Genomic DNA, 17,428 nt, shown 5'->3' on the forward strand with positions numbered 1-17,428 from the left:
AGTCACATTAATTGGGCTTGACTTGTAATTCCCAGCCTTTTAGCCACATTTCCCGGGGCAGGACATTTGACTCCCTTCATATATTCATCCAACACGGCAAGCCCCTAGTAGATGTCTCCTATGTGCTCATGAACCCGTTTATCAGAGTTATCGGACCACATCTGCTACTTATGTAGCTTCAACACCCATATCCATCAATGACCATTGCCCCTAAAACTGCCTTCAATACATTTCACATTCTCTGTATTTGATTGCCACCTTGAGAGTACTAATATCTCTGCCAACAATGTTTTCAAGTGTGTTAGTGCCAGTGAAAGAGTGAGAAGAATTCCTCTTATCTCTGTGTTGGTTCCAAGTAGTTCTTATTTATTTCTCTGCCTCAGAGTCCTCAGTGAAAAAGATTCATCACTTCTGCTTGTCTTTCTCCATAGAGCTCAGACACAGTCCCTGGGGACAGCTGACCTTGAGTCATGCTGCACTTTCACCTTCCTTCATACCCTATGTCAATTGACATATCCAATACAACTGGATCCAGTGCAACTGGAAGACTGGAAGCATTAGAATTCTGATTATAACACAGATAGGCCTTGTGTTAGGATCCCTACCATACGTGCAATCAACCTTGGATGCCAATCTGAGGGTTGCAGTTTGCAACCTACATTTGCCCTATTGCCCTTTTTGGAAAAGGGACTAACTTAGACTAATATGTAAGAAATTTTCCCCATGATTAATAGTGCAGCTACCTCATTGCTGATTATCTACACCTTCTAGGGAGGCTGCAAAGAGGGAAACCCACTAAAATCCTTAGATGTACCTAGGTGCATGCACTTGTAAGAGAGGCATTCTCAGCTCTACATGGGGCCTCCCTTCAGCTGCTTTACATACAGGACTTAAGACTAGAGAAGAGACCAGAGGCAGGATTTGTTGGAAGCCTGTGGAAACAAATCCCAAACAGTTCTGCTTCTCCTCTGGTTCTCTGTAGGCTGCTGTTGAAAAGGAGGCTACCAAACAGGTAAACGATACAAATAGACCCCAGAGCCTTGGTTTATGTCTCACTTGTTTTGGAAACATAATGAGTCATAGTTTGTGTTATTTCTGAGTAAAATGTAAAAATATATAGTAAATTCTGCCCTGAACCTAGAAATTCCTGAAACCCTTCTAGAGATCTGGAAATTGGCCCCAGTGTGTTTATACAGATATAATCTAATTAAAATATTTGAAAAGTCTTTCTTTACCTTTCCAGAATCCTGGATATCCCAAGTAAATGAGCCTATTTATGTTCTGCTTTTGATTCACAGATATTACAGAGCAAAGGCACTGTGATATAAAACCACTGAGCACACATTTTCCTTTCTCATTTTTAAATGAAACTTACTAATTTGTCATCAAGCACTACATTTAAAAACTCAAACCTGGCTGGGCGTGGTGGCTCAAGCCTAAAATCCCAGCACTTTGGGAGGCCAAGGAGGGTAGATCACCTGAGGTCAGGAGTTCCAGACCAGCCTGATCAATATGGTGAAACCCCATCTCTACCAAAAAAAATACAAAAAAAAATTAACCAGGCATGGCGGTGTGTGCCTGTAATCCCAGCTACTCAGGAGGTTGAGGCAGGAGAATCTCATGAACCTGGGAGGTGGTAGTTGCAGTGAGATGGTACCACTGCACTCCAGCCTGGGTGACAGAGGTAGACCCTGTCTCAAAAAAAAAAAAAAAAAAAAACCCTCAAACCTACTTGTACGTTTTTTGCATTTAGTGAAACACCTACATAAGTTGGAGCTTTAAAACATATGTATAAAACTTTGTAATATATCTTCTAATTGTTGATTAAGGAAAACTAGAGTTCACTAGAATATTTAAATAGAAACATTTTAAATAATGATTAAGGCTTTTAGGTTATGGAAAAGAGTTGATTTGTCTAGGTGTTAAAAAGGAAATTATTATTTCCACTAGCAATGTATGAGAAATACTGTTTTCAGCATCTTCACCAATACTGAATGTTACCAGTCTTTAATTTTTGTCAATCTGATGAGTGCATGCATATATTTCCAAAAAAGGCACTGGCGTATAGATCACAGAAAAATAAAATATTCAAGTGTGGAATCTGTATGACGGAAATCCTCTCCACACCCAGAATGCTAGTTTTCTCTCCTCTCTCTCTGTCTGTCCCCACCATCTCTCTCTTCCTTTTTCTCTCCTTCTTTCTCACTTTTATCTTCCCTTTACGTCTTCTTCCTTCAAGTTTCTCTTTCTAGAGATGACTTTGCGTCTCTGTGCATGAAGTGGAAAACATGCCTACCAGGTTATTTATCTCTTCTCCTAATAATTCAACAAAGGCCAGGTGCAGTGGCTCACACCTGTAATCGCCACACTTTGGGAGGCTGAGGTGAGCGGATTGTTTGAGCCCAGGAGTTCGAGACCAGCCTGGACAGCATGGTGAAACCCTATCTCTACAAAAAATACAAAACTTAGCTGGGCTTGGTGGCATGCACCTGTAGTCCCATCTACTTGGGATGCTGAGGTAGGAGGAACACTTGAGCCCAGGAGGTGGGGGCTTCAGTGAGCTGAGATCGTGCCACTGCACTACAGCCTGGGCAACACAGTGAGATGAGACCCTGTCTCAAAAAATAAATAATAATAATAATTCAATAAAGACTTTCTAGAATCACTTTCTTCTGATCAAAATTCCAAAGAAATATCTGTTTGTCTCATTTCAAGTCAATATCCATTACCAATAGAATCCAGTTGACTGAGGCGGGCGGATCACGAGGTCAGGAGATCGAGACCCTCCTGGCTAACACGGTGAAACCCCATCTCTACTAAAAAATACAAAAAATTAGACAGGCGTGGTGGCGGGCACCTGTAGTCCCAGCTACTCGGGAGGCTGAGGCAGGAGAATGGCGTGAACCTGGGAGGCAGAGCTTGCAGTGAGCCGAGATTGCACCACTGCTCTCCAGGCTGGGTGACACAGCAAGACTCCCTCTCAAAAAAAAAAAATAATAATAATAATAATCCAGTTGACCAAGAGAATGAGATCATATTCCAGAGAAAGCAGGGGCTTAGAGTGCATGCTTTCTGCAGGAATGAGAGCAAATTATCCAAGAAGGAGACATGGGAGGAGGGAGAAAATGACTGGCAGAGGACATGGCTTGCATACCTAGAATACACTCTAGCTTTCAATCACACGAGCACACACTTTTGTGTGTAGTCCAGCACTGTCTTACATGTTATTACCTGTAGAATATCTAGAGTTCTAACTAGACCAGTATTTCTCAGACTTTAATGTGCAGTGCCTACTTTCATGTGCACAATCACCTGAGGATCTTGTTAAAATGTAGACTATGATTCAGTAGATCTGGGTGGAGCCTGAGACTCTGTATTTCTCACAAGCTCTCAGGTCAAAACAAGGCCTGTAGTCTGTAAACTACACCTTGAATAGCAGAGGTATAGACTGAACTGCAACCAATTCAATCTGGTTCCATTTTTCAGTTTATCCTTTAGTCAGAAATGAAGATCATACCAGCACATTTTCCTTCCTACAGCCTTCTCTCTCTTTCAGTAACTCATCTCTTGAGATCTCAGATAAGAAAATCTGTATTACCTCAAAAATAAGTATGTTTAATGTAAAATGGTGCAGCCACTTTGGAAAATAGTTGGACAGTTCTTCAAATGGTTAAACATAGTTACCATATGACCCAGCAATTCCATTCCTAGATACATATGTAAGAAAAAGGAAAACATGAAAACATAGGTTCACACAAAACTTGTGCATGAATGTTCATAGCTGTATTATTCATGATGGCCAAAAAGTGGACCCATCAACTGATGAATTGATAAATTAAATATGGTAGAGCCACATAATGGAATATTATTTGGAAACAAAAATAAGTGAAGTACTTACTGATACATGATACAACACAGATGAACCTTGAAAACATGCAAAGTGACAAAAGGCAATTTAAAAAGTCACATATTGTATGATTCTGTTTATATGAAATGTGGAACGGAGGCAAATTTATAGACACAGAAAATAGATTAGCAGTTGCCTAAGGCTAGGGGAGGGGGTTGTGACGATGGGAGATGACAGCTTGAGAATGTTCTATAATTGATTGTGGTGCTGGTTGCATAACTGTGAATATAATGAAAGCTATTGAATTGTATACTTTAAATGAGTGGATTATATGATATGTGAATTATATTTTATTATAGCTGTTAAAAATGGGCACTCTTATTCCAAATATAATAAAGAAAATTTTTCTTTTGTTATCTATTTTTACTTCTAAGTTTGTTTTCATTGTGTTGTATCCTTATTAGTAGCATTTTGAATACTGTCATTGCTTTCACATTCGGTAGATATGTTAGATAAGTTATGTATTCTATTTTCTGAGTTGGGTGTGCTATGAAAATCTGGTCCCATCTGATTTTATATTTAAATACTCATACGCAGGAACCTTACTGATTGGCAAATTGGCACAAAGAAAGAGTCCAAATACAGAAGAGAATTTGACTCCATATGTAAGTTCAAATCTGCATGTGTACAAGTTTAAGAATAATGTGAATTTATGCCCGAGCGCAGTGGCTTACGCCTCTAATCCCAACACTTTGGGAGGCCAAGGCGGGTGGATCACGAGGTTTAGAGATCGAGACCATCCTGGCCAACATGGTGAAACCCCATCTCCACTAAAAATACAAAAATTAGGTGGGTATGGTGGTGGGTACCTGCAGTCCCAACTATTCGGGAGGCTGAGGCAGGTGAATTTCTTGAACCCAGGAGGTGAAGGTTGCAGTGAGCCGAGATTGTGCCACTGCACTCCAGCCTGGCTACAGAGCGAGACTCTGTCAAAAAGAAAAAAAAGAATAGTATGAATTTCTTAATGATGCAGAATGTTATTCAGTCACCATGTGCAACTGTTGCAAATACTGCTAATTCATGAGTACTTTTTGAGCCAGGAATTAGAACAAAAAGAAAAGCAAGAAAATGGACAATAGGTCCTACTGTACTGGAAAAATAATTATTCATTACATAAGAATCTATTGCATTCTGGTGAAAGACAGTCTTTGAGCAGTTTGCTGAATTTGCCTTTTCTCTGATCTTTATTGCTACAATCCTCTCTGAACTCCAAAGCAGAATCTGTCTCTAAAAATCAGCTCCCTCACAATGCACAAACATGCATGATATAATCTCCATTCATTGTGAGCAAAGAAGGGAAGATAGGCAACTTTTCCCTGGGCTGGATGTTTAGGGTTTCAAGTCCAATTCTACCAGAATTAAGCACTGGATTCTGAGTAACAGAGGTGCTATTTGTTCTTTCAAAATTTTACATGTTTGTATCTGTGATATATGGGACCCTCTAAAGCACGGGGCCAAAGGCACCTTCTAACTGGGTATAAGGATGGTATTTATACCATTTATGATATCACAAATATATGTACCTTTTATAAAGATATGTCACTTTATTATCACCAAGATAACAAATTGTTAAGTTAAACAACCAATCAGAATTAGACTTTTCCAAGTTGCAGGTTTCTTTCTTAGACTATAACAACCTCTGAACTCGAAGTATCTCATGAGACTCTGTTGTTGGAAACACCATATGTCATGTTAATTTTGCTACACAAGAGTCTCTGCTTTGTGCAGCTACAGGATGGAGGAAACGCTTCTAGCTAACAATTCCTTCATTATCAAATTAGTCATGACAACTATACTCCCTAGGTTTTTATGAATATTTACATCATGGTTGGGAAGTATTATAAAAATGAAAAGAAAAAAAAAACCTCTCAGGGTAGTATCAACTCCTTCAGAGCTCAAAGCATAAATATATAATCCATCCATTAAACAATAATATGTGTATTACTTTTGCCCATTTTACAGCTGGGTAAACTAAATTATTATCCAGAGCTTGGAAAGCTAAACAGCTCACAGATCCCTCCAGGGCCTGGCTTCGTATGTTTAGTGTGAGGCAAAAAGGAAATTCTGGCTCAATGATATGGCCCCTGGAAAATTCGAGAACTAGTAAAGTAAACAGAGATAATTAAATCTAGGTCTCTAGGTCTAAATTTACTTCTGGGGGACAATTTACTGGACAAAACTACTATTTTTTTTTATTATACTTTAAGTTTTAGGGTACATGTGCACATTGTGCAGGTTAGTTACATATGTATACTAAAACTACTATTTTTTTTACAAAACATTTTGGAAGTCTTTCATATAACCGGCTCCCAGAAACCCCTACATCAGAATCTCCTAGAGACATTATTAAAAATGCAGTTTCAGAGGAGGTTCCAAGATGGCCAAATAGGAACAGCTCCAGTCTATAGCTCCCAGCATGAGTGATGCAGAAGATGGTAGTTTCTGCATTTCCAACTGAGGTACTGGGTTCATCTCACTGGGGCTTGTCAGATAGTGGGTGCAGCCCACACAGTGTGGGCCAAAGCAGGGCGGGGCATCGCCTCACCCGGGAAGTGCAAGGAGTCAGGGAATTCCCTTTCCTAGCCAAGGGAAGCCATGACAGATGGTACTTGGAATATTGAGACACTCCCACCCTAATACTGCGCTTTTCCAACGGTCTTAGCAAACAGAACACCAGGAGATTATATCCTGCTCCTGGCTCAGAGGGTCCCATGCCCAGGGAGCCTTGCTCACTGCTGGCACAGCAGTCTGAGATGGAACTGCAAGGCAGCAGTGAGGCTGGGGGAGGGGCGCCCACCATTGCTGAGGCTTGAGTAGGTAAACAAAGTGGCTAGGAAGCTCAAACTGGGTGGAGCCCACCACAGCTCAAGGAGGCCTGCCTGCCTCTATAGACTCCACCTCTGGGGCAGGGTATAGCTGAACAAAAGGCAGCAGAAACTTCTGTAGACTTAAACACCCTTGTCTGACAGCTTTGAAGAGAGTAGTGGTTCTCCCAGCACGGAGTTTGAGATCTGAGAATGGACAGACTGCCTCCTCAAGTGGGAGTTAGTCTGTTACTCCTCCCTGAGTAGCCTAACTGGAAGGCACCTCCCAGTAGGGGCTGACTGACACCTCATACGGCAGAGTGCACCTCTGCGATGAAGCTTCCAGAGAAAGGATCAGGCAGCAACATTTGCCTTTCTGCAGCCTCCACTGGTGATACCCAGGCAAACAGGGTCTGGAGTGGACTTCCAGCAAACTCCAACAGACCTGCAGCTGAGGGTCCTGACTGTTAGAAGGAAAACTAAAAAACAGAAAGGACATCCACACCAAAACCCCATCTGTATGTCACCATCATCAAAGACCAAAGGTAGATAAAACCACAAAGATGGGGAGAAACCAGAGCAGAAAAGCTGAAAATTCTAAAAAATCAGAGTGCCTCTTCTCCTCCAAAGGAATGCAGCTGCTTGCCAGCAATGGAACAAAGCTGGACGGAGAATGACTTTGATGAGTTGAGAGAAGAAGGCTGCAGACAATCGGTAATAACAAATTTCTTCGAGCTAAGGGAGGATGTTTGAACCCATGGCAAAGAAGCTAATAACCTTGAAAAAAGATTCGACGAATGGCTAACTAGAATAAAGAGCGTAGAGAAGACCTTAAATGATGTGATGGAGCTGAAAACCATGGCATGAGAACTATATGACGCATGCACAACCTTCAGTAGCCAATTCATCAACTGGAAGAAAGGGTATTAGTGATTGAAGATCAAATGAATGAAATGAAGTGAGAAGAGAAGTTTAGAGAAAAAAGAGTAAAAAGAAATGAACAAAGCCTCCAAGAAATATGGGACTATGTGAAAAGACCAAACATACATCTGACTGGTGTACCTGAAAGTGACACGGAGAATGGAACCAAGTTGGAAAACACTCTGCAGGATATTATGCAGGAGAACTTCCCCAACCTAGCAAGGGAGGCTAACATTCAAATTCAGGAAATACGGAGAACGCCACAAAGATATTCCTCGAGAAGAGCAATTCCAAGACACATAATTAGCAGATTCACCAAAGTTGAAATGAAGGAAAAAATGTTAAAGGCAGCCAGAGAGAAGGGTCAGGTTACCCACAAAGGGAAGCCCATCAGACTAACAGCAGATGTCTCGGCAGAAACTCTACAAGCCAGAAGAGAGTGGGGGCCAATATTCAACATTCTTAAAGAGAAGAATTTTCAACCCAGAATTTCATATCCAGCCAAACTAAGCTTCATAAGTGAAGGAGAAATAAAATCCTTTACAGACAAGCAAAGGCTGAGAGATTTTGTCACCACCAGGCCTGCCTTACAAGAGCTCCTGAAGGAAGCACTAAACATGGAAAGGAACAACCGGTACCAGCCACTGCAAAACATGTCAAAGTGTAAAGACCATCGGTGCTAGGAAGAAACGGCATCAGCTAACGAGCAAAATAACCAGCTAACATGATAAGGACAGGATCATATTCACACATAACAATATTAACCTTAAATGTAAATGGGCTAAATACCCCAATTAAAAGACACAGACTGGCAAATTGGCTAAAGAGTCAAGAACCATCAGTGTGCTGTATTCAGGAGAGCCATCTCATGGCAGAGACACACATAGGCTAAAAATAAAGGGATAGAGGAAGATCTACCAAGCAAATGGAAAATAAAAAAAGCAGGGTTGCAATCCTAGTCTCTGATAAAACAGACTTTAACCAACAAAGATCAAAAGAGACAAAGAAGGCCATTACATAATGGTAAAGGGATCAATTCAACAAGAAGAGCTAACTATCCTAAATATATATGCACCCAACACAGGAGCACCCAGGTTCATAAAGCAAGTCCTTAGAGACCTACAAAAAGATGTAGACTCCCAAACAATAATAACAGGAGACTTTAACACCCCACTGTCAACATTAGACAGATCAACGAGACAGAAAGTTAACAAGGATATCCAGGAGTTGAACTCAGCTCTGCACCAAGCAGACCTAATAGACATCTACAGAACTCTCCACCCCAAATCAACAGAATATACATTCTTCTCAGCACCACATTGCACTTATTCCAAAACTGACCACATAGTTGGAAGTAAAGCACTCCTCAGCAAATGTAAAAGAACAGAAATTATAACAAACTGTCTCTCAGACCACAGTGCAATCAAACTAGAACTCAGGATTAAGAAACTCACTCAAAACTGCTCAACTACATGGAAACTGAACAACGTGCTCCTGAATGACTACTGGGTACATAAGAAAATGAAGGCAGAAATAAAGATGTTCTTTGAAACCAATGAGAACAAAGACACAACACACCAGAATCTCTGGGACATATTTAAAGCAGTGTATAGAGGGAAATTTATAGCACTAAATGCCCACAAGAGAAAGCAGGAAAGATCTAAAATTGACACCTAATATTACAATTAAAAGAACTAGAGAAGCAAGAGCAAACACATTCAAAAGCTAGCAGAAGGCAAGAAATAACTAAGATCAGAGCAGAACTGAAGGAGATAGAGACAAAAAACCCTTCAAAAAAATCAATGAATCCAGGAACTGATTTTTTGAAAGGATCAACATTATTGATAGACCACTAGCAAGACTAATAAAGAAGAAAAGAGAGAAGAATCAAATAGATGCAATTAAAAATGATAAAGGGGATATCACCACCAATCACACAGAAATACAAACTATCATCAGAGAATACTATAAACACCTCTATGCAAATAAACTAGAAAATCTAGAAGAAATGGATAAATTCATGGACACATACACCCTCCCAAGACTAAACCAGGAAGAAGTTGAATTCCTGAATAGACCAATAACAGGGTCTGAAATTGAGGCAATAATTAATAGCCTACCAACCAAAAAAAGTCCATGACCAGATGGATTCACAACTGAATTCTACCAGAGGTACAAAGACGAGCTGGTACCATTCCTTCTGAAACTATTCCAATCAATAGAAAAAGAGGGAATCCTCCCTAACTCATTTGATGTGGCCAGCATCATCCTGATACCAAAGCCTGGCAGAAACACAACAAAAAAAGAGAATATCAGGCCAATACCCCTGATGAACATCGATGCAATGCAAATATCCTCAATAAAATACTGGCAAACTGAATCCAGCAGCACATCAAAAAGCTTATCCACCATGATCAAGTTAGCTTCATCACTGGGATGCAAGGCTGGTTCAACATATGCAAATTAATAAATGTAATCCAGCATAAAAACAGAACCAAAGACAAAAACCACATGATTATCTCAATAGATGCAGAAAAGGCCTTTAACAAAATTCAGTAGCCCTTCATGCTAAAAACTCTCAATAAACTAGGTATTGATGGGACATATCTCAAAATAATAAGAGCTATTTATGACAAACCCACAGCCAATATCATACTGAATGGGCAAAAACTGGAAGTATTCCCTTTGAAAACTGGCACAAGACAGGGATGCCCTCTCTCAACACTCCTATTCAAAACAGTGTTGGAAGTTCTGGCCAGGGCAATCAGGCAGGAGAAAGAAATAAAGGGTATTCAATTAGGAAAAGAGGAAGTCAAATTGTCCCTGTGTGCAGATGACATGATTGTATATTTAGAAAACCCCATAGTCTCAGCCCAAAAGCTCCTTAAGCTGATAAGCAACTTCAGCAAAGTCTCAGGATCCAAAATCAATGTGCAAAAATCACAAGCATTCCTATACACCAATAACAGACAAACAGAGAGCCAAATCATGAGTGAACTCCCATTCACAATTGCTTCAAAGAGAATAAAATACCCAGGAATCCAACTTACAAGGGATGTGAAGGACCTCTTCAAGCAGAACTACAAACCACTGCTCAATGAAATAAAAGAGGACACAAACAAATGGAAGAACATTCCATGCTCATGGATAAGAAGAATCAATATCGTGAAAATGGCCATACTGCCCAAGGTAATTTATAGATTCATGCCATCCCCATCAAACTACCAATGACTTTCTTCACAGAATTGGAAAAAACTACTTTAAAGTTCATATGGAACCAAAATAGAGCCTGCATTGCCAAGACAATCCTAAGCCAAAAGAACAAAGCTGGAGCCATCACACTACCTGACTTCAAACTATACTACAAGGCTACAGTAACCAAAACAGCATGGTACTGGTACCAAAACAGAGATATAGACCAATGGAACAGAACAGAGCCCTCAGAAATAATACCACACATCTACAACCATCTGATCTTTGACAAACCTGACAAAAACAAGCAATGGGGAAAGGATTCCCTATTTAATAAATGGTGCTGGGAAAACTGGCTAGCCATATGTAGAAAGCTGAAACTGGATCCCTTCCTTACACCTTATACAAAAATTAATTCAAGATGGATTAAAGATTTAAATGTTAGACCTAAAACCATAAAAACCCTAGAAGAAAACCTAGGCAATACCATTCAGGACATAGGCATGGGCAAGGACTTCATGTCTAAAACACCAAAAGCAATGGCAACAAAAGCCAAAATTGACAAATGGGATCTAATTAAACTAAAGAGCTTCTGCACAGCAAAAGAAACTACCATCAGAGTGGACAGGCAACCTACAGAGTGGGAGAAAATTTTTACAATCTACCCATCTGACAAAGGACTAATATCCAGAATCTACAAAAAACTTAAACAAATTTACAAGAAAAAAATCAAACAACCCCATCAAAAAGTGGGCAAAGGCTATGAATGGACACTTCTCAAAAGAAGACATTTATGCAGCCAACAGACACATGAAAAAGAGCTCATTATCACTGGCCATCAGAGAAATGCAAATCAAAACCACAATGAGATGCCATCTCACACCCGTTAGAATGGCCATCATTAAAAAGTCAGTAACAACAGGTGCTAGAGAGGATGTGGAGAAATAGGAACACTTTTACACTGTTGGTAGGACTGTAAACTAGTTCAACCATTGTGGAAGACAGTGTGGCGATTCCTCAAGGATCTAGAACTAGAAATACCATTTGACCCAGCCATCCCATTACTGGGTATATATCCAAAGGATTATAAATCATGCTGCTATAAAGACACATGTACACGTATGTTTATTGCAGCACTATTCACAATAGCAAAGACTTGGAACCAACCCAAATGTCCATCAATGATAGACTGGATTAAGAAAATGTGGCACATATACACCATGGAATACTATGCAGCCATAAAAAAGGATGAGTTCATGTCCTTTGTAGGGACATGGATGAAGCTGGAAACCATCATTCTGAGCAAACTATCGCAAGGACAGAAAACCAAACACCGCATGTTCTCACTCATAAGTCGGAACTGAGCAATAAGAACAACTGGACACAGGATGGGGAGCATCACACACTGGGGCCTGTCATGGGGTAGGGGGAGGGAGGAGGGTTAGCATTAGGAGATATACCTAATGTAAATGACGAGTTAATGGGTGCAGCACACCAACATGGCACAAGTATACATATGTAACAAACCTGCGTGTTGTGCACATGTATCCTAGAACTTAAAGTAAAATTTTAAAAAATGCAGTTTCGAGCTCGGGGTTAAGATGGTAAACTAGAAGCAACTCATGTGCCAGGCTATCACGGAAAGGAAACAAAAGGGCTAGTGAGCATTGACCCTGCAGGCCAATCATCTGAGAAATCATGTCAGGGATTCGGGATCCTTCAAGATGTAAGGGGATTACAGAGAGCAGAAAGGGGTGAAGCTAGATACCAGCCTGTCCGGGCTCAGCGTGGATCCAGGAGAATTTCTCCAACACTGGAAAGGGTGAGTGAGTGAGAACCCCCTAGGGGATTCACACTCTCGACAGGGACCTGTGCAAGACTGGAAATGGGAGAATGCCCCTGAAACCCCTGCCCACCCCCGACCCCACCACCGTGCTTCTAGACTGAGGCAGAGAGCCCCCCAGACATTTTGGAGGGCAACTCTCTAGTCCAAGGAGACTTCTGCAAGCCTTGTGCCCCCAAGAAGACCAGCACTGGTGCCATAGCCCAATAAAGGCTGCAGTCCCAGTGCCTAGGAGCAGTAAGATTGCCCCATCTCAAACCCTTTCTGGATGGGGCTTGGTGCCAGCTTCCAGCCTACTGGTCCTACTTCTCTGTCTGAACTCAGCCAGTGACCATAGCCTCCTGTTCTCCCAGGAAGCACCTGGAGGGCAAGACAGGTGACTACATCTACCCCTGCCACTGGTTGCCAGGCAGGCAACACTTGCTAGAGCTTCCATCCCAGTGGTTCCACTTCTGTCTGAATTCAGCCAGAGAGCACAGCCTCCTGTTGTCCTGGGAAACATTCAGGCAAGGTAGGCAACCCCACCTACCCTGGCCTCTTGTAGCCAGGCAAGCCATGCCTGCTAGAGCTTCCAATTTATGTCCCACAGCCAAATTCTCATTTCCCATTCCTTTATAAAATTCTTGTTTCTGTTGGTTCAACATACACAAATCAATAAATGTGATTCACCACATAAGCAGAACTTAAAACTGAAACCACGTGATCATCTCAATAGATACAGAAAAGGCTTTTGATAAAATTCAACATCCATTAATGTTAAAAATCCTCAACAAACTAGATATTGAAGGAACATACCTCCAGATAATAAGAGCCATCTATGATAAACCCAAGGTCAACATCATACTGAATGGGCGAAAGCTGAAAGATTTCCCCTTGAGAACTGGAAAAATACAGGGATGCCCACTCTTAGCACTCCTATTCAACAGAGTACTGCTAGCATGAGCAAGCAGGCAAGAGAATGAAATAAAAGGCACCTAGATAGGAAGAGAGGAAGTCAAACTATCTATCTTTGCAGACAATTTGATTGCATACCTAGAAAACCCCCACGTCTCTACCCAAAAGCTCGTAGGTCTAATAAACAGCTTCAGCAAAGTTCCAGGATACAAAATCAACATACAAAAATGAGTAGCATTCCTATACACTAACAAAATCCAAGCCGAGAGCCAAATCAGGAAGACAATCCCATTCACAATAGCCACAAAAAGAATAAAATACCTAGAAATACAGCTAACGCAGGAGGTGAAAGATCTCTACAATGAGAATTACAAAACATTGTTCAAAGAAATCAGAGATGACACAAACAAATGGAAATGCTCATGGATAGGAAGAATCGATATTGCTAAAATGGCCATACTACCCAAAGCAATTTACAAATTCAATGCTATTCCTAACAAGCTACCAATGACAGTCTTCATAGAATTAGAAAAACCTATTTTAAAATTCCTATAGAACAAAAAGTGCTCAAATACCCAAAGCAATCCTAAGCAAAAAGAACAAAGCTGGAGGCATCATGTTACCTGACTTTGAACTATACTATAAGGCTACAGTAACCAAAATAGCATGGTACTGGTACAAAAACAGACACATAGACCAATAGAACAGAATAGAGAGCCCATGTTACCTGACTTTGAACTATACTACAAGGCTATAGTAACCAAAATGCATGGTACTGGTACAAAAACAGACACATAGACCAATGGAACAGAATAGAGAGCCCAAACTTAAGGGCACACACCTACAGCCATCTGATCTTCAACAAAGCTGACAAGAACAAGCAATGGGGAAATGATTCCCTGTTCAATAAAGGGTGCTGGGATAACTGGCTAGCCATATATAGAAGACTGAAATTGGACCCCTTCCTTACATCATATATGGAAATCAACTCAAGATGGATGAAATGTAAAACCTAAAAATATTAAAACCCTGGAAGATAACCTAGGAAATACGATTCTCAACATAGAAACCAGCAAAGATTTCATGATGAAGACACCAAAAGCAACTACGACAAAACCAAAAATTGACAAACGGGACCTAATTAAACTAAAGAGCTTCTGATAGCAAAAGAAACTATCAACAGAGTAAACAAGCAACTGACAGATGGGAGAAAATATCTGCAAACTATGCATAACCAAAGGTCTAATATTGAGAATCTATAAGAAACTTAAGCAAATTAACAAGCAAAAAAGCAAACAGCTCCATTAAAAAGTGGGCAAAGGACATGAACAGACACTTTTTAAAAGAAGACATGCATGCGGCCAATAAGAATATGAAAAAATATGTGGTGTTTGGTTTTCTGTCCTTTGTGATATTTTGCTGAAAATGATGGTTTCCAGCTTCATCCATGTCCCTGCAAAGGACACAACTCATCCTTTTTTATGGATGCATTGTATTCCATGGTGCATATGTGCCACATTTTCTTTACCCAGTCTATTGGGTTGGTTCCAAGTCTTTGCTATTGCAAATAGTGCCGCAATAAACATATGAACCAACATGGCACATGTATACCTATGTAACAAACCTGCACATTGTGCACATGTACCCAAGAAATTAAAGTATAATAATAAAAAAAGAAAATAAATTTCTTCCTTCAGATACCCTAAAAAAAAGAATATGAAAAAATACTCAATATCATTAATCATTAGAAAAATGCAAATCAAAACCACAATGAGATATCATGTCATACCAGTCAGAATGACTATTATTAAAAAGTCAACAAAAATAACAGATGCTGGTGAGGTTACAGAGAAAAGGGAACACTTACAAACTGCTGGTGAGAATGTAAATTAGTTCAGTCACTATGGAAAGCAATGTGGTAATTTCTCAAAGAACTTAAAATAGAAGTACCATTCAACCCAGCAATCCTATTATTGGGTACATACCCAAAGGAATATAAATCATTCTGCCATAAAGACACATGTTCAAGTATGTTCATCATAGCACTATTCACAATAGCAAAGACATGGACTCAACCTAAATGCCCATCAACAGAAGACAGGATAAGGGAAATGTGGTACATATACACCATGGACTACTATGCAGCCACAAAAAAAAGAATATCATGTCCTTTGCAGTAATGTGAATGGAACTGGAGGCCATTATCCTAAGTAAACTAATGCAGGAAGAGAAAACCAAATACTGCATGTTCTCACTTATAAGTGGGAACTGAACATTATGGACACAAAGAGGGGAACAACAGACACTGGGGCCTACTTGAGGGTAAAGAATGGGTGAAGAGAGAGGACTGAAAAACTACCTATCATGTACTATGCTTATGAGTGGGGTGACTAAATAATCTGTACACTAAAGCCTCATGACATGCAATTTACCTAAATAACAAACCTGTACGTGTATACCTGCACATAAAATATAAGTTAAAAAAAAACCTACAATGAGATATGATCTTACCCTGGTTAAAATTGCTTTTATCCAAAAGACAGGCAATAACAAATGCTGGCAAGGATGTGGAAAAAAGGAAACTCTTGTACACTGTTGGTGGGAATGTAAACTATTATAACTACTATGGATAACAGTTCGGAGGTTCCTCAAAAGACTAAAAATAGAACTACCATATGATCCAGTAATCCCACTGCCAGGAATACATCAAAAAGAAAGGAAATCAGTACATCAAAGAGATATCTGCACTCCCATGTTTATTGCAGCACTATTCACAATAGCCAAGATTTGGAAGCAACCTAAGTGTCCATCAGCAGAAGAATGGATACAGAAAATGTGGTACATTTACACAACGGAGTGCTCTTTAGCCATAAAAAGAATGAGATCCTGTCATTTGCAACAACATGGATAGAAGTGGAGGTCATTATAAGTGAATTAAGCCAGGCACAGAAAGACAAATTTTACATATTCTCACTTGTTTGTGGAAGCTAAAAATATTAAGACAATTGAACTTATGGAGATAGAGATTAGAATGATGATTACTAGAGGCTGGGAAGAGTAGTAGCGGGGGAAGTGGGGATGGTTAATGGGTACAAAAATATACTTAGATAGAATTAATAAGATCTAGTGTTTGTTAGAACAAGAGGATGACTATAGTCAACAATAGTTTATTGCACATTTCAAAATAACTAAAAGAGTATAATTGGATTGTTTGTAATACAAAGAATAAATGCTTGAAGTCATTTACCCTGATGTGATTATTACTCATTGTATGCTCGCATCAAATATCTCATGTACCCCATAAATATATATATCTACTATGTGTCCACAAAAAATTTTTAAAAATAATAAGAATTGGCTTAAAAAATGCTGTTTCCTGGGCCCCACCCTAGACTGATGGTCAGATACCTAATGTTGACAAAAAAAGTCAAACTCTGTAAAACATTTGAAGAGATTTATTCTAAGCCAAATATGAATGACCTATGGCCTGTGACACAGCCCTCAGGAGATCCTGAGAACATGTGCCAGGCCACAACTTGGTTTTATACATTTTAGGGAGACATAAGGCATCAATCAATACATGTAAGGTGTACATTGGCTAGGTCCAGAAAGGTGGGACAATTGGAAACAGGGAAGCGGGGCAGCTTCCAAGTCATAGGCAGATTCAAAGATTTTCTGATTGACAATTTGTTGAAAGAGTTATTATCAATAGAAAGGAATGTTTGGAGACATCCAATAGAAATTCAATAGACAATCATTAGAAAGGAATGTCTGGGTCGTGGAGACCAAGGTTTTATTATGCAGATGAAGCCTCCAAGTAGCAGGCTTCAGAGAGAATAGGTTGTAAATGTTTCTTAATACACTTAA

At 39.9% G+C, this 17,428-nt stretch overlaps 1 protein-coding gene across 17 annotated transcripts in view; it reads right to left on the reverse strand.

The window, feature by feature from the left end:
• LIPA (lipase A, lysosomal acid type) overlaps positions 1-17,428 on the reverse strand; it is a 201,108-nt gene that overhangs the window by 96,255 nt on the left and 87,425 nt on the right. For 7 of the 17 annotated variants that reach the window (NM_001440824.1, NM_001440827.1, NM_001440828.1 and 4 more), the window contains one exon: positions 4,717-4,833. The exons of the other annotated variants lie outside the window; for them this stretch is intronic. Coding sequence is in view for 1 of the 7 variants with exons in the window: in NM_001440836.1 (NP_001427765.1) it covers positions 4,717-4,833 (117 nt within the window). In the remaining 6 variants the exon portion in view is untranslated. The remainder of the gene's footprint in view (positions 1-4,716; positions 4,834-17,428) is intronic. 17 annotated transcript variants of the gene reach the window in all.

The sequence above is a fragment of the Homo sapiens genome, chromosome 10, assembly GCF_000001405.40.
Source record: "Homo sapiens chromosome 10, GRCh38.p14 Primary Assembly".
In the NCBI taxonomy this organism is placed as follows: Eukaryota; Metazoa; Chordata; class Mammalia; order Primates; family Hominidae; genus Homo; species Homo sapiens.